The 17,735-nt window shown below is 36.0% G+C and overlaps 2 annotated features.

Moving 5' to 3' along the window:
* Positions 2,626-3,127: an enhancer, noted in NCBI's record as "NANOG hESC enhancer chr7:62017088-62017589 (GRCh37/hg19 assembly coordinates)". NCBI's record gives its function as "activates a minimal SCP1, AML or CMV promoter by ChIP-STARR-seq in naive H9 embryonic stem cells {active_cell/tissue: H9 hESC(naive)}" and the evidence as "EXISTENCE:reporter gene assay evidence [ECO:0000049][PMID:30033119]".
* Positions 11,036-11,537: an enhancer, noted in NCBI's record as "NANOG hESC enhancer chr7:62025498-62025999 (GRCh37/hg19 assembly coordinates)". NCBI's record gives its function as "activates a minimal SCP1, AML or CMV promoter by ChIP-STARR-seq in primed H9 embryonic stem cells {active_cell/tissue: H9 hESC(primed)}" and the evidence as "EXISTENCE:reporter gene assay evidence [ECO:0000049][PMID:30033119]".

The following is a 17,735-nucleotide window of genomic DNA, read 5'->3' on the forward strand; positions in this document are numbered from 1 at the left end:
GAAATTTCTGAGAATGCTTCTGTCTAGTTTTTATATGAAGATATTTTGTATTCCAACATAGGCCTCAAAGGGAGCCAAACATCCACTTGCAGATTCTACAAAGAGAGTGTTTCAAAACTACTCTATCAAAAGAAAAGTTCAACTCTCTGAGTTGAATGCACACAACACAAAGCAGTTTCAGAGAATGGTTCTGTCTATTTTTTATGTGAAGATATTTTCTTTTGCACCATAGGCCTCAAACTGCTCCAGATATTGGCTAGCAGATTCCACAAAAAGAGCGTTTCAAACTGGTCTATCAAAAGAAACGTTCAACTCTCTGAGTTGAATGAACACATCACAAAGAAGTTTCTTACAATGCTTTGTCTAGTTTCTATGTGAATATATTTCCTTTTCCAACATAGATTTCAAAGCGCTCAAAATATACACTTGCAGATTCCACAAAAAGAGAGAAACAAAACTGCTCTATCAAAGAAAAGGTTCAACTCTGTCAGTTGAATGCACACTTCATAAAGAAGTTTCTGAGAATGCCTCTGTCTAGTTTTTATAAGAAGATATTCCCTTTTCCACCACAGAACATAAAAGGGCTCCAAATATCCATTTGCAGATGCTACAAAAAGAGAGTTTCAAATATGTTCTATGAAAAGAAAGGTTCAACTCTGTGATTTGAATGCACACATCACAAAGAAGTTTCTGAGAATGCTTCTGTCTACTTTGTATGGGAAGATATTTCCTTTTCCAACATAGGCCTCAAAGGGAACCAAATATCCACTTGCAGATTCTACAAAAAGACTGTTTCAAAACTGCTCTATCCAAAGAAAGGTTCAACTCTGTGAGTTGAAAGCACACATCACAAAGAAGTTTCTGAGAATGCTTCTGCCTAGGTTTCATGTGAAGATATTTCGTTTTCCAACATAGGCCTCAAAGGGAAACAAAAATCAACTTGCAGATTCTACAAAAAGGGTGTTTCCAAATTGCTCCATAAGAAGAAAGTTCAACTCTGTATGTTGAATGTACACAGCGCAGAGAAGTTTCAGAGAATGATTCTGTCTAGTTTTTCTGTGAAGATACTTCCTTTTCCACCATAGGCCTCAAAGAGCTCCAAATATCAACTTGCAGATTCTACAAAAAGAGTGTTCCAAAACTGCTCTATCAAAAGAAAAGTTCAACACTATGAGTTGAAAGCACACATCACAGTGAAGTTTCTGGGAATACTTCTTTCTGGTTTTTATGTGAAGATATTTCCTTTTCCCCCATAGTGCTCAAAGCACTCCATATATCCACTTAGAGATTCTACAAAAAGAGAGTTTCAAAACTGCTCAAACAAAAGAAATGTTCAACTCTGTGAATTAAATACACAACAACACAAAGAAGTTTCGGAGAATGCTTCTGTCTAGTTTTTATGTGAAGATATTTCCTTTTCCCCTATAGGCCTCACAGCGCTCCAAATATGCGTTGGCATTTTCTTCAAAGGAGAGTTTCAAAACTGCTTCATCAAAAGAATGGTTCAACTCTGTGACTTGAATGCACACATCAAAAAGAAGTTTCGGAGATTGCTTCTCTCTAGTTTTTATGTGAAGATATTCCCTTTTCCACCGTAGGCGTCAAATCGCTCCAAATATCCTTTTGTAGATTCCACAAAAAAAGTGTTTCAAACTGGTCTATCAAAAGAAACATTCAACCCTGGGAGTTGAATTAACACATCACAACGAAGATTCTTAGAATGCTTTTGTCTAGTTTCTATGTGAAGATATTTCCTTTTCCACCATAAGCCTCACAGCACTCCAAACATCCATTTGCAGATTCTACAAAAAGAGAGTTTCAAAACTGCTCTATCAAAGGAAAGGTACAATTCTGTGAGTTGAATGCACACATCACAAAGAAGTTTCGGGGAATGCTTCTGTCTAGTTTTTATGTGAAGATATTTCCTTTTCCACAGTAGGCCTGTAAGCACTCCAAATATCCACTTGCAGATTCTACAAAAAGAGAGTTTCAAAACTGTTCTATCAAAAGAAAGTTTCAATTCTCTGATTTGAATGCACACATCTCAAAGAAGTTTCTGAGAATGCTTCTGTCTAGTTATTATGTGAAGATATTTCCTTTTCCACCATAGGCCTCAAAGGGAAACAAATATCCACTTGCAGATTCTACAGAAAGAGTGTTTCAAAACTGCTCTATCAAAAGAAAGGTTCAACTAGGTGAGTTGAATGAACACATCAAAAAGAAGTTTCGGGGAATGCTTCTGTCTAGTTTTTAAGTGAAGATATTTCCTTTTGCACCACAGGCCTCAAAGCACTCCAAATATGCACTTGCAGATTCTACAAAAAGAGTGTTTCAAAACTGCTTTATCAAAAGAAATGTTCAACTCGTGAGTTGAATGCACACATCACAAAGAAGTTTCAGAGAATGCTTCTTTCTAGTTTTTATGTGAAGATATTTCCTCTTCCACCATAGGCCTCAAAGCGCTCCAAATATCCACTTGCATTTTCTACAAAGGAGAGTCAAAAGCTCTCAATCAAAAGAATCGTTCAACTCTGTGAGTTCAATGCACACCTTAAAAATAAGTTTCTGAGAATGCTTCTTTCTAGTTTCTATGTGAAGATATTTTCTTTTCCACCATAGGCCTCAAAGTGCTCCAAATATCCACTTGCAGATTCCACAAAAAGAGTGTTTTAAAACTGCTGTGTCAAAAGAAGTGTTCAACTCTGTGAGTTGAATGCCCCCATCACAAAGAAGTTTCTGAGAATACTTCTGTAAATTTTTTTTGTGAAGATATTTCCTTTTCCACCGTAGGCGTCAAAGCGCTCCAAATATCCACTTGCAGATTCTACAAAAAGACTATTTCAAAACTACTCTATCAAAAGAAAGGTTCAACTCTGTGAGTTGAATGCAGACATCACAAAAAAGTTTCTGAGAATGCTGTTGTCTAGTTTTTATGTGAAGATATTTCCTTTTCCACCATAGGACTCATAGCGCTCCATATATCCACTTGAAGATTCTGCAAAAATAGTGTTTCAAAACTGCTCTATCAATCAAAAGGAAGGTTCAACATTGTGAGTTGAGTGCACATATCACTAAGAAGTTCCCGAGAATACTTCTGTCTAGTTTTTATATGTAGATATTTCCTTTTCCACCATAGGCCTCCAAGTGATCCAAATATCCACTTGCATTTTCTACAGAAAGAGAGTTTCAAAACTGCTCTATAAAAGAATGGTTCAACTCTGTGAGTTGAATGCACACATCACAAAGATGCTTGTGAGAATGCTTCTGTCTAGTTTTTATGTGAAGTTATTTCCTTTTCCACTGTGTTCCTCAAACCACTCGAAATATCCACCTGCAGATTCTACAAAAAGAGAGTTTCAAAACTGCTCTGTCAGAGAATTGTTCAACTCTGTGAGTTGAATGCACACATCACAAAGCAGTTTCTCAGAATTTTTCTGTCTAGTTTTTATGTGAAGATATTTCCTTTTCCACCATAGGCCTCAAAGCACTCCAAATATCCAATTGCTGATTCTACAAAATGAGAGTTTCAAAACTGCTCTATCAAAAGGAAAGTTAAACTCTGTGAGTTGAAGGCACACGTGGCAAAGAAGTTTCTGAGAATGCTTCTGTCTAGTTTTTATGTGAAGGTATTTCCTTTTCCACCATAGGCCTCAAAGGGCTCCTAATATCCACTTGTAGATTTATAAAAAGAGTGTTTCAAAACTGCTCCATCAAAAGAAAGGTTCAACTCTGTGAGATGAATGCACACGTCTCTAAGTAGTTTCCGAGAATGCTTCTGTCTAGTTTTTATGTGAAGATATTTCCTTTTCCACCGTAGCCCTCAAAGCACTCCAAATATAAACTTGGAGATTCTACAAAAAGAGAGATTCAAAAATGCCCTATCAAAAGAATGTTTCAACTTTGTGAGTTGAATGCACACTTTACAAACATGTCTCTGAGAGTGCTTCTGTCTAGATTTCATGTCAAGATATTTCCTTTTCCACCATAGGCCCCAAGGCGCTCCAAATATCCACTTGCAGATTCTTGAAAAAGAGTGTTTCAAAACTGATATATCAAAAGATTGGTTCAACTCTGTGACTTGAATGCACACATCACAAAGAAGTTTCTGAGAATGCTTTTGTCTAGTTTTTATGTGAAGATATTTCCATTTCCACCATAGGCCTCAAAGCACTCCAAATATCCCCTTGCAGATTCTGCAAAAAGAGTGTTTTAAAACTGCTCTATAAAAAGGAATGTTCAACTCAGTGAGTTGAATGCACCCATTACAAAGAAATTTCTAAGAATGCTTCTGTCTAGTTTTTATGTGAAGATATTTCCTTTTCCACCATAGGCCTGAAGGCTCTCCAAATATTGTACTGCAAATTCTACAAAAAGAATGTTTCAAAACTGCTCTATCATCAAAAGAAAAGTTCAACTCTGTGAGTTGAGTGCACACATCCAAAGAAGTTTCTGAGAATGCTTCTGTCTAGTTCTTAGGTGAAGATATTTCCTTGTCCACCATTAGCCTCAAAGCTCTCCAAAAACGCACTTGCAGATTCTACAAAAAGAGTGTTAGAAAACTGCTCTATCAAAAGAAAGATTTAACTCCGTGAGTTGAATGCACACATCACAAAGAAGTTTCTGAGAATGCTTCTGTCTAGATTTTATGTGAAGTTATTTCCTTTTCCAACATAGCTGTCAAGGCGCTCCAAATATCCACTTGCAGATCCTACAAAAAGAATGTTTCAAAACTGCTCTATCAAAAGAAATGTTCAACACTGTGAATTGAATGCACGCATCACATAGAAGTTTCTGAGAATGCCTCTGTCTAGTTTTTATGTGAAGATATTTCCTTTTACACCATAGGCCTCAAAGTGCTCCAAATATCCTCTTGCAGATTCTACAAAAAGAGAGTTTCCAAACTACTCTATCAAAAGAATGGTTCAACTCTGTGAGTTGAATGCGCACATCACAAAGACGTTTCTGAGAATTCTTCTACCTAATTATTACGTAAAGATATTTCCTTTTCCACCTTTGGCCTCAAAGCGCACCACGTATCCACTTACAGATTCCACAATAAGTGTGTTTCAGAACTGCTCTATCAAAAGATCGGTTCAACTCTGTGAGTTGAATGCACACATCACAAAGAAGTTTCTGAGAATTCTTGTGTCTAGTTTTTATGTGAAGATATTTCCTTTTCCACCATAGGCCTCAAAGTGCTCCAAATATCCACTTGCATGTTCTACAAAATGAGTGTTTCAATACTGCTCTCTCAAAACAAATGTCGAACTCTGTGAGTTGAATGCACACATCACAAAGAAGTTTTTGAGAATGCTTCTGTCTAATTTTTATGTGAAGATATTTCCTTTTCCACTATATTCCTCAAAGCGCTCGAAATATCAACTTGCACATTCTACAAAAAGAGAGTTTCAAAACTGCTCCATCAAAAGAATGGTTCAACTCTGTGAGTTGAATGCACACATCACAAAGAAGTTTGTGAGAATGTTTCTGTCTAGCTTTTATGTGAATATATTTCCTTTTCCACCATAGGCCACACACAGCTGCAAATATCCACTTGCAGTTTCTACAAATAGAGTTTCAAAGCTGCTCTATCCAAAGAATTCTTCAACTCTGTGAGTGGAATACAAATATCACAAAGAAGTTTCGGAGAATGCTTCTCTCCAGTTTTTATATGAAGATATTTCCTTTTTCACAACCGGCTTCAAAGTGCTTCAAATATCCACTTGCAGATTCTACAAAAAGAGTTTCAAAACTGCTCTATGGAGAGAAAATTTCAACTCTGTGAGTTGCAAGCACACATCATAAAGAAGTTTCTGAGAATGTTTCTGTCTAGTTTTTATATGAAGATGTTTCCTTTTAAACCATTGACCTCAAATCGCTCCAACTACAAACTTGCAGGTCCAACAAAAAGAGTGTTTCAAAACTGCTCTACCAAAAGAAAGGTTCAGCTCTGTGAGTGGAAAGAACAAATTACAAAGTAGTTTCTGAAAACGTTTCTGTCTAGTTTTTATGTGAAGATATTTCCCTTTCCACCATAGGCCTCCAAGAGCTCCAACTATCCACTTTCAGATTGCACATAAAGTGGGTTTCAAAACTGCTCTATCAAAAGAAAGTTTCACTCTGGGAGCTGAAAGGACACATTACAAAGAATTCTCTGAGAATACTTCTATCTAGTTTTTCTGTGAAGATATTTCCTTTTCCAACATAGGCCTCAAAGTGCTCCAAATATCCCCTTATAGATTGTACAAAAGAAGTGTTTCAAAACTGATCTATCAAAAGAAAGGTTCAAACCTGTGAGTTCAGTGCACACATCATAAGAAGTTTCTGAGCATGCTTCTGTACAATTTTTCTGTGAAGATATTTCCTTTTCCACCATAGGCCTCAAAGGGCCCAAATATCCACTTGCAGATTCTACACAAAGAGAGTTTCAATACTGCTCTATCAAAAGAAATTTCAACTCTGTGAGTTGAATGCACACATCACAAAGAAGTTTCTGAGAATGCTTCTCTCTAACTTTTATGGGAAGACATTTACTCTTCTACCATTGGCCTAAAAGGGATCCAAATATACACTCACAGATTCTACAGAAAGATTGTTTCAAAACAACTCTATCAAAAGAAAATTCAATTCTGTCAGTTGAATGCACGCATCACAGAGAAGTTTCTGAGAATGCTACTGTCTAGTTTGTATGTCAACATATTTCCTTTGCCACTATAGGCCTTAAAGCTCCCAAAATATCAAATTGCATTTTCCACAATAAGATAGTTCAAAACTGCTCTATCAAAAGGACGGTTCAACTCTGTGAGTTGAGGGCACCCACCACAAAGAAGTTTCAGAGAATGCTTCTCCCTAATTTTTATATGAAGTTATTTCCTTTTCCAACATAGGTGTCAAGGCGTTCCAAATATCCACTTGCAGGTCCTACAAAAAGAATGTTTCAAAACTGATCTTTCAAAAGAAAGGTTCAACTCTGTGAGTTGAATGCACACTTCACAAAGAAGTTTCTGAGAATGCTTCTGTCTAGTTTTTATGTGAAGACATTTCCTTTTCAACCATAGGTCTCAAAGCGCAAAAATATCCACTTTCAGTTTCTACAAAAAGAGTGTTTCAAAACTCCTCTACCAAAAGAAAGGTTCAACTCTATGAGGTGAATGCACACATCACAAAGAAGTTTCTTGGAATGCTTCTGTCTATTTTTTATGTGAAGACATTTCCTTTTCCACTACAGGCATCAAAGAGCTACAAATATCCACTTTCAGATTCTACAGAAAGAGTGTTTCAAAACTGCTCATTCAAAAGAAAGTTTCAACTCAGTGAACTGAATGCACGCATCACAAAAAAGTTTCTGAGAATGCTTCTGTCCAGTTTTTATGGGAAGATATTTCCTTTTCCACCACAGGCGTCAAAGTGCTCCAACTATCCACTTCCAGATACTACAAAAAGAGTATTTCAAAACTGCTCTGGCAAAAGAAAGTTTCAACTCAGTGAGATGAATGCACACATCACAAGGAAGTTTCTGAGAAGGCTTCTGTCTAGTTTTTATGTGAAGATATTTCCCTTTGCACCATAGGCCTCTAAGTGCTCCAAATATCCATTTGCAGATTCTACAAAAAGAGAGTTAGAAAGCTGCTCTATCAGAAGAAAGGTTCAACTCTGTGAGTTGAATGCACACATCACAAAGCAGTTTATGAGAATACTTCTGTCTACTTTTCATGTAGAGCTGCTTCCTTTTCCAATGTAGGCCTCAAAGTGCTCCAACTATCCACTTGCAGATTGTACAAAAAGAGAGTTTCAAAACTACTCTATCAAAAGAAAGGTTCAACTCAGTGATTTGAATGCACACATCACAAAGTAGTTTCTGAGAATACTTCTGTCTAGTTTTTATGTGAAGATATTTCCTTTTCCATGACAGGCTGCAAAATGCTTCAAATATCCACTTACAGATTCTCCAAAAAGAGTGTTTCAAAACTGCTCAATCAAAAGAAAGGCTCGACTTGGCCAGTTGAATGCACACATCACAAAGAAGTGTCTTAGAATGCTTCTGCTAGTTTTTATGTGACGATATTTCCTTTTCCACCATAGGCCCCAATGGTCTCCAAATATCCACTTGCAGATTCTGCAAAAAGAGTGTTTCAAAACTGCTCTATCAAAAGAAAGGTTCAACACTGTGAGTTGAATGCACACATCACAAAGAAGTTTCTGAAAATGCTTCTGTCTAGTTTTTATGTGAAGATATTTACTTTTCCACCATAGGCCTCAAAACACTGCAACTATCCACTTGCAGATTCTACAAAAAGAGTGTTTCAAAACTGTTCTGTCAAAGGAAACGTTCAACTCTTTGAGTTGAGTGCACACATCATAAAAAAGTTTCTGAGAATGCTTCTCTCCAATTTTTATGTGAAGCTATTTCCATTTCCACCATAGGCCTCAAAGAGCTCCAAATATCCACTTGCAGATTCTACAAAAAGAGTTTTTCAAAACTGCTCTATGAAAAGAAAGATTCAACTCTGTGAGTTGAATGCACACATCAGAAAGAAGTTTCTGAGACTGCTTCAAATCTGTGTGTTGAATGCACACGTCTCAAAGAAGTATCTGAGAATGCTTCTGTCTAGTTTTTCTGTGAAGATATTTCCTTTTCCAACATAGGCCTCAAAGCGCCCCAAATATCCACTTGCAGACTCTGCCACGAGAGAGTTTCAAAACTGCTTCATCAAAACAAAGGTTCAACTCAGTGAGCTGAATGCACACATCACAAAGAAGTTTCTGAGAATGCTTCTGTCTAATTTTTATGTGAAGATATTATCTTTTCACCATAGGCCTCCAAGCGCTCCAAATATCCACTTCGAGATCTTACAAAAAGAATGTTTCAAAACTTATCTATGAAAAGAAAGGTTCAACTCTGTGAGTTGAATGCACACATCAGAGAGAACTTTCTGAGAATGCTTCTGTCTACTTTTTTGTACACATATTTCGTTTTCCAACATAGGCCTCAAAGGGCTGAAAATATCAACTTGCAAGTTCTATAAAAAAAACTGTTTCAAAACTGCTCTATGAAAAGAAATGTTCAACAATGTGAGTTGAATGCACACCTCACAAAGAAGTTTGTGAGAATGCTTCTGTCTAGTTTTTATGTGAAGATATTTCCTTTTCCACCATAGGCCTCACAGCGCTTCAAATATTCACTTGCAGATTCCACTAAAAGTGTGTTTCAAAACTGCTCGATCAAAAGAAAAGTTCAACTCTGTGTGTTGAGTGCACACATCACAAAGAAGTTTCTGAGAATGCTTCTGTCTAGTTTTTATGTGAAGATATTTCCTTTTCCACCATAGGCTTCAAAGTGCTCCAAATATCCACTTACAGATTCTACAAAAAGTGTGTTTCAAAACTGCTCTATCAAAAGAAAGATTTAACAATGTGAGTTGAATGCACACATCACCAAGGAATTTCTGAGAATGCTTCAGTCTAGTTTTTATGTGAAGAAATGTCCCTTTCCACCACATGCCTCAAAGCACTCCAAATATCCACTTGCTGATTCCACAAAAAGATTTTTTCAAAACTGCTAAATCAAAAGAAAGGCTCAACTCTGTCAATTGAATGCACACATCACAAAGTAGTTTCTGAGAATGCCTCTTTCTAGTATTTAAGGCAAGATATTTCCTTTTCCACCATAGGCCTCAAAACCTTCCAAATATCCACTTGCAGTTTCTACAAAAAGAGTGTTTTAAAACTGCTCTATCAAAAGAAACGTTGAGCTCTGTGAGTTGAAAGCACACATCCCATAGATGTTTCTGAGAATGCTTCTGTCTAGTCTTTACGTGAAGATATTTCCTTTTTCACCATAGGCCCCAAAGCGCTCTAAATATCCACTTGCACATTGTACAAGAAGAGTGTTTAAAAGCTGCTCTACCAAAATAAAAGTTCAACTCTGTGAGTTGAATGCACACATCACAAAGTAGTTTCTGAGAATGCTTCTGACTAGTTTTTACATGAAGATATTTCCTTTTCCACGAATGGCTTCAAAATGCTCCAAATATCCACTTGCAGATACTACAAAAGGAGTCTTTCAAAACTGCTCAATCAAAGGAAAGGTTCATCTCTATGAGTTGAATGCACACATCAGCAAGAAGCTTCTGAGAATGCTTCTGTCTAGTTTTTATGTGAAGATATTTCCTTTTCCTCCATAGGCCACAAAGCATTCCAAATATCCACTGGCAGATTCTACAAACGGACTTTTAGAAATGTTCTCAATCAATGGAAAGGTTCAAGTCTGTGAGCTGAATGCACACATCACAAAGTAGTTTCTGAGAATTCTTCTGTCTAGTTTTTATTGTGAAGATATTTCCTTTTCCACCATAGACTTCAAAACGCTCCAAATATCTACTTGCAGATTTTACAAAAAGAGTGTTTCAAAACTGCTCTATCAAATGAAAGGTTCAACTCTCCGAATTGAATGCACACATCACAAAGAAGCTCCTGAGAATGCTTCTGTCTTGTTTTTATGTGATGATATTTCCTTTTTCATCATATGCCTCAAAGTGCTCCAAATATCCACTTGCAAATTCTACAAAAAGAGTACTTCACAACTACTCAATCAAAAGAAAACTTCAACTCTGTGAGTTGAATGCACACCTAACAAAGAAGTTTCTGAGAATGCTTCTGTCTAGTTTTTATGTGAAGATATTTCCTTTTCCACCATAGGCCTCAAAGAACTCCAAAATCCACTGCAGATTCCACAAAAAGAGTGTCTAAAAACTGCTCTATCAAAAGAAAGCTTCAACTCTGTAAATTGAATGCACACATCACAAAGAAGTTTCTGAGAATGCTTCTGTCTAGTTTTTATGTGAAGATATTTCCTTTTCCACAATTGGCCTAAATGCACTCCAAATATCCACTTGCAGATTCCACAAAAAGAGTTTTTCAAAATTCGTCATTCCAAAGAAAAGTTCAACTCTGTGAGTTGAATGCACACATCACAAAGAAGCTTCTGAGAATGCTTCTGTCTAGTTTTTATTTGAAGATATTTCCTTTTCCACTATAGGGCTCAAAGTGCTCCAAATATCCTCTTGCAGATTCTACAAAAACAGTGTTTCAAACTGCTCAACGAAAGGAAAGGTTCAACTCTGTGAGTTGAATGCACACATCACAAAGAGGTTTCTCAGAATGCTTCTGTCTAGTTTTTACGTGATGATATTTCCTTTTCCACAATAGGCCTCAAAGCGCTCCAAATATCCACTTGCAGATTGTACAAAAAGAATGTTTCAAAACTGCTCAATCAAAAGAAAAGTTCAACTCTGTGAATTGAATGCACACATCACAAAGAAATTTCTCAGAAAGCATCTGTGTAGTTTTTATGGAAAAATATTTCCTTTTCCACCATTGGCCACAAAGGGCTCTAAATATCCACTTGCAGATTCTATGAAAAGGGATTTTGAAAACTGCCCTATCAAAAGATAGATTCAACACTGCGAGTTTAATGCTCACCTCAGAAAATGTTTCTCAGAATGCCTCTGTGTAGTTTTCATGGGAAGAAATTTTTTTTTCCCACCATCTGCCACAAGAGAGTTTGGAAACTCCTCTATCAAAGGACAGGTTCAACTCTGCGAGTTGAATGCAAGCATCATAAAGCAGTTTCTCAGAATGCTTCTGTGTAGTTTTTATGCAAAGATATTTCCTTTTCCACCATTGGCCTCATAGCGCTCCAAATGTCCTCTTGAGGATTCTTCAAAAAGAGTCTATCAAAACTGCTCTATCAAAAGAAACGTACAACCCTTTGAGATGAATGCACACATCACAAAGCAGTTTCTGAGAATGCTTCTGTGTGGTTTATATGTGAAGATATTTCCTGTTCCACCAAGGGCAAAAAGCCTTCCAAATATCCAATTACAAATTCTACAAAAAGAGTGTTTCCAAAAAGCTCAATCAAAAGAAAAGTTCAACTCTGTGAGATGAATGGGCACATCACAAAGAAGTTTCTCAGAGTGCTTCTGTGTAGTTTTTAAGTGAAAGTATTTCCTTTTCCACAGTAGGCCTCCAAGTGCTCCAAATATCTGCTTGAAGATTCCACAAAAAGAGTGCTTCAAAACTGCTCCCTCAAATGACAGGTTCAACTCTTCTTTGACATGAATTCACACATCACAAAAAGTTTCTCAGAATCCTTCTGTGTAGTTTTTATGAGAGGATATTCACTTTTCCTCCATTGGCCACAAAAGGCTCCAAATGTCCACTTGCAGATTCTACAAAAGGGATTTTGAAATCTGCTCTATCAAAAGATAGGTTCACCTATGTGAATTGAATGCACACAACACAAGGAAGTTTCTCAGAATGCTTCAGTGTAGTTTTTATGTGAAGATATTTTTTTTCCACCATAGGCCTCAAAGCGCTCCATATATCCACTTGCAGATTCTTCAAAAAGAGTGTTTCCAAACTGCTCAATCAAAAAAGAGGTTCAACGCTGTGAGATCAATGCACACATCACAAAGAATTTTCTCAGAATGCTTCTGTGAAGTTTTTATATGAAGATATTTCCTTTTCCACCATAGGCTGCAAAGGGCTCCAAATATCCATGGCAGATTCTACGAAAAGAAAGTTTCAAAACTGCTCTATCAAAAGATAGATTCAACGCTGTGAGTTGAATGCACAAATTAGAAAGAAGTTTCTCAAAATGCTTCTGTGTAAATTTTGATGTGAAGATATTTCCTTTTCCACCACAGTCCTCAGAGCACTCCAAATATCCATTAGCAGAGAATACAAATCGACTGTTTCCAAACTGCTAAATCAATAGAAACGTTAAACTCCATGAGTTGAAGGCACACATCACAAAGAAGTTTCTCAGAATGCTTCCATCTCTTTTTTTTCTGAAGATATTGTCTTTTCCACCATAAGCCTCAGAGTGCTTCATATATCCACTTGCAGATTCTACAAAAGGAGTGTTTCAAAACTTCTCAATGAAAAGAATGGTTCAACTCTGTGAGATGAATGCACACATCACAGAGAAGTTTCTGAGAATGCTTCTGTCTAGTTTTTATGTGAAGATATTTCCTTTTCCACTATTGGCCTCAAAGCGCTTCAAATATCCACTAGCAGATAGTACAAAAGGACTGTTTCTGAACTGCTCAATCAATAGAAAGGTTCAACTCTCTGAGTTGAAAGCACACATCATAAAGACGTTTCTCGGAATGCTTCTGTCTAGTTTTTTGTGTAGATATGACCTTTGGCACCATAGGCCACAAAGCGTTCCAAATATCCACTTGCAGATTTGACAAAAAGAGTGTTTCAAAACTGCTCAATCAAAAGAATGGTTCAACTCTGTGAGATGAATGCACAAATCACAAAGAAGTTTCTCAGAATGCTTCTGTCTAGTTTTTATGTGAAGATATTTCCTTTTCCATGAAAGGGCGCTAAGTGCTCCAAATATCCACTTGCAGATTCTACAAAAAGAGTGTTTCAAAACTGCTCAATAAAAAGAAAGTTTCAACTCTGTGAGATGAATGCACACATCATAAAGAAATTTCTCAGAATGTTTATGTCTAGTTTTTATGGGAAGATATTTCCTTTTCCACTCTAGGCTGCAAACCACTCCAAATATCCACTTGCAGATGCTACAAAAAGAGTGTTTCAAAACTGCTCAATCAAAAGAAAGGTTCAACACTCTGAGATGAATGCACACATCACTAGAAAGTTTCTCAGAATGCTTCTGTCTAGTTTTTATATCATGATATTTCCTTTTCCACTATAGGCCTCACTGTGCTCCACATATGCATTAACAGATAGTACAAAAAGACTGTTTCCAAACTGCTCAATCAATAGACAGTTTCAACTCTGTGAGATGAATGCACCCATCACAAAGTAGTTTCTCAGAATGCTTCTGTCTAGTTTTTATGTGAAGATATTTCCTTTTCCACCATAGGCCTCAGAGAGTTCCAAATATCCAACTGCAGATCCTACAAAAAGAGTGTTTCAAAGCTGCTCAATCAAAAGTTACGTCCAACTCTGTGAGATGAATGCACACATCAGAAAGAAGTTTCTCAGAATGCTTCTGTCTAGTTTTTATGTGAAGATATTTCCTTTTCCACTATAGGCGGCCATGTGCTCCAATTATCCACTTGCAGATTCTACAAAAAGAGTGTTTCAAACTGCTGAATCAAAAGAAAGGTTCAACTCTGTGAGATGAATGCACACATCAAAAAGAAGTTTCTCAGCATGCTTCTGTCTAGTTTTCAAGTGAAGATATTTCCTTTTCTGCTATAGGCATCAAACTACTCCGAATATCCATCAGCAAATATTACAAAAGACTGTTTCCCAACTACTCAATAATTAGAAAGTTTCAACTCTGTGAGTTGAATGCACACATCACAAAGAGGTTTCTGATAATGCTTCTGTCTGGTTTTTATGTAAAGACATTTTTCTTTTCCACCATACTCCTCAGAGCACTCAAATTATCCACTTGCAGATTCCACAAAAAGAGTGTTTCAAAACTGCTCAAACAAAAGAAAGTTTCAACTCCGTGAGATGAATGCACACATCACAAAGAAGTTTCTCAGAATGCTTCTGTCTAGTTTTATGTGAAGATATTTTGGTTGCCACTAAAGGCCATAAAGCGCTCCAAATATCCACTTCCAGATTCTACAAAAAGAGTGTTTCAACACAGCTCAATCAAAAGAAAGGTTAAACTCTGTCAGATGAAGACACACATCACAAAGAAGTTTCTCAGAATGCTTCTGTCTAGTTTTTATGTGAAGATATTTCGCTTTCCACCATAGGCGTCAGAGCACTCAAAATATCCACTTGCAGATTTTACAAAAAGAATGTTTCAAAACTGCTCAATCAAAAGAAAGTTTCAACTCTGTGAGATGAATGCACACACCAGAAATAAGTTTCTCATAATGCTTCTGTCTAGTTTTTATGTGGAGATATTTCCTTTTCCACTATAGGCCTCAAAGCGCTCCAAATATCCATTAGCAGATAATACAAAAAGACTGTTTCCAAACTGCTCATTTAATGGAAAAGTTCAACTCTGTGATCTGATTGCACACATCACAAGGTAGTTTCTCAGAATGCTTCTCTCTAGTTTTTTTGTGAAGATATTTCAGTTGCTACTATAGGCCACAAAGTGCTCCAAATATCCACTTGCAGATTCTACAAAAAGAGTGTTTCAAAACTGCTCAATCAAAAGAAAGGTTCAACTCTGTGAGACGAATGCACATATCACAAAGAAGTTTCTGAGAATGCTTCTTTCTACTTTTTATGTGAAGATATTTCCTTTTCCAATGTAGGCCACAAAGCACTCCAAATATCCACTTGCAGATTCTACAAAAAGAGTGTTTCAAAACTGCTCAATCAAAAGAAAGGTTCAACTCTGTGAGATGAATGCACACATCACAAAGAAGTTTCTCAGATGTCTTCTGTCTAGTTTTTATGGGAAGGTATTTCGTTTTCCACTACAGGCCTCAAAGCACTCCAAATATCTATTAGCAGATAATTAAAAAGACTGTTTCCAAACTGCTCAATCAATAGAAAATTTCAGCTCTGTGAGTTGAATGCACACTTCACGAAGTAGTTTCTCAGAATACTTCTGTCTAGTTTTATTTTATTTATTTTTTAAGCATTGATTTACACACCTTTATTATGAGTGAAGTCAAGATGAGACTCAGGCAGACTGATCCCATGGAACTGATTTCCTGGCAGCAAAATTTTCCCTGTATCAGCAGCTCATTTTTGCTTTTTTCCTTTATTCTTTTTTTATTTGAGATGATTTCAAGTGAGATAAAGTTCTGAGATCTAATTTTTCTTAAGGTTAAATGTTCAGTTTAAGATTAAATTTTAAGTGAAAAATTCTGAAACCTGTTACATTCCCCTGCAAATCTATTTTTCAGAAAACCTAATTATTGAAGTCTCAGTCATAGCAGAGATAACATAGAATAATCTGATGGATAGTCATCTTCATAGCAAAAAATTGGTACTTATTCTTAAGTAATGTTGAAAGGTTCATTTATAATAACATTTTTGTTTTTTGAGATTATTTTTTCATCTACTAATTTGTATGACTCTGTTAAAATAAGTTTGTCTTAGAATCAAAAGCAAAAATGTAAAAGTAATATATACATATACACAAGGTAAGGAATACATTTTAAAATAATTTTCATACATGATATGTTAATGTCAAACTTCACAGATGACACTCATTAATGAAATTTCAGAAAAATAGAACACGCTAGACAATACATCAGAGAAAATATATTTGCCTTATTTCCATTTCGGAATAATCTGAATAATACAATACTCAAAATGACTTTTTTCCCCCCACAGTTTAGGAATGCTTTTCTGTGAAGAATGTCATTGGGATTTTGATAGGGATTTTATTGTATCTGCAGATTGCTTAGATAGTATATACATTTTAACAATACTAATTCTTCTAATCCATGAGCACAGGATATCTTTACATTTACTAATATTTTCTTCCATTTCCTTTACCAATGTTCCATAGTTTTCATTATAGAGATACTTCATTTCTTTGGCTAAATTTATTTCAGGGTATTTTATTTTATTGTAGCTATAGTAAATGTGATTTCTTTTTCATATATTTTGTTGCTGTATATTGAAATACAACTGATTTTTCTATGATTTTGTATTCTGCAACCATGCTGAATTTGTTCATTATTTTTCTTTCTTTTTTCATTTTATTTTATTATTATTATACTTTAAGTTCTGTCTAGTTTTTATGTGAAGATATTTCCTTTTCCACCATATGCTTCAGACAGCTCCACTTATCCACTTGCAGATTCTACAAAAAGAGTGTTTCAAAACTGCTCAATGAAAAGAAAGGTTCAATTCTGTGAGATGAATGCACACATCACAAAGAAGTTTCTCAGAATGCTTCTGTCTAGTTTTTATGTGAAGATATTTCCTTTTCCACAACAGGCTGCAAAGAGCCACAAATATCAATTAGCAGATAATACAAAAAGTCTGTTTCCAAACTGCTCAATTAATAGAAAGATTCAACTCTGTGAGTTGAATGCACACATCACAAAGAAGTTTTGGAGAATGCTTCTGTCTAGTTTTTATGTGAAGATATTTCCTTTTCCACCATAGGCCAGAGCGCTCCAAATATCCACTTGCAGATTCTACAAAAAGAGCATTTCAAAACTGCTCAATCAAAAGAAAGGTTCAACTCCATGATATGAATGCACACATCACAAAAAAGTTTCTCAGAATGCATCTGTCTAGTTTTTAAGTGAAGATATGTCCTTTTCCACTACAGGCCTCAAAGCGCTCCAAATATCCATTAGCAGATAATACAAAAAGACTGTTTAAACACTGCTCAACCAATAGAAATGTTCAGCTTGGTGAGTTGAATGTCCACATCGCAAAGAAGTTTCTCTGAATATTTCTGTTTTTATGTGAAGATGATATTTCCCTTTTCACTATATTCTGCAAAGCACTACAGGTATCCAATTGCAGATTCCACAAAAAGAGTGTTTTAAAATTGCTCAATCAAAAGAAAGCTTCAACTCTGAGAGATGAATGCACACATTGCAAAGAACTGCCTTACAATGCTTCTGTCTAGTTTTAAGTGAAGATATTTCCTTTTCTATTATGGGCCTCAAAACGCTCCAAATATCCATTAGCATATAATACAAAAAGAGAGTTTCCAAATGCCAAATAAAAAGAAAAGTTCAAATCTGTGAGTTGAATGCACACATCACAAAGAATTTTCTCAGAATGCTTCTGTCTAGTTT

Source organism: Homo sapiens, chromosome 7, assembly GCF_000001405.40.
Source record: "Homo sapiens chromosome 7, GRCh38.p14 Primary Assembly".
Classification (NCBI taxonomy): Eukaryota; Metazoa; Chordata; class Mammalia; order Primates; family Hominidae; genus Homo; species Homo sapiens.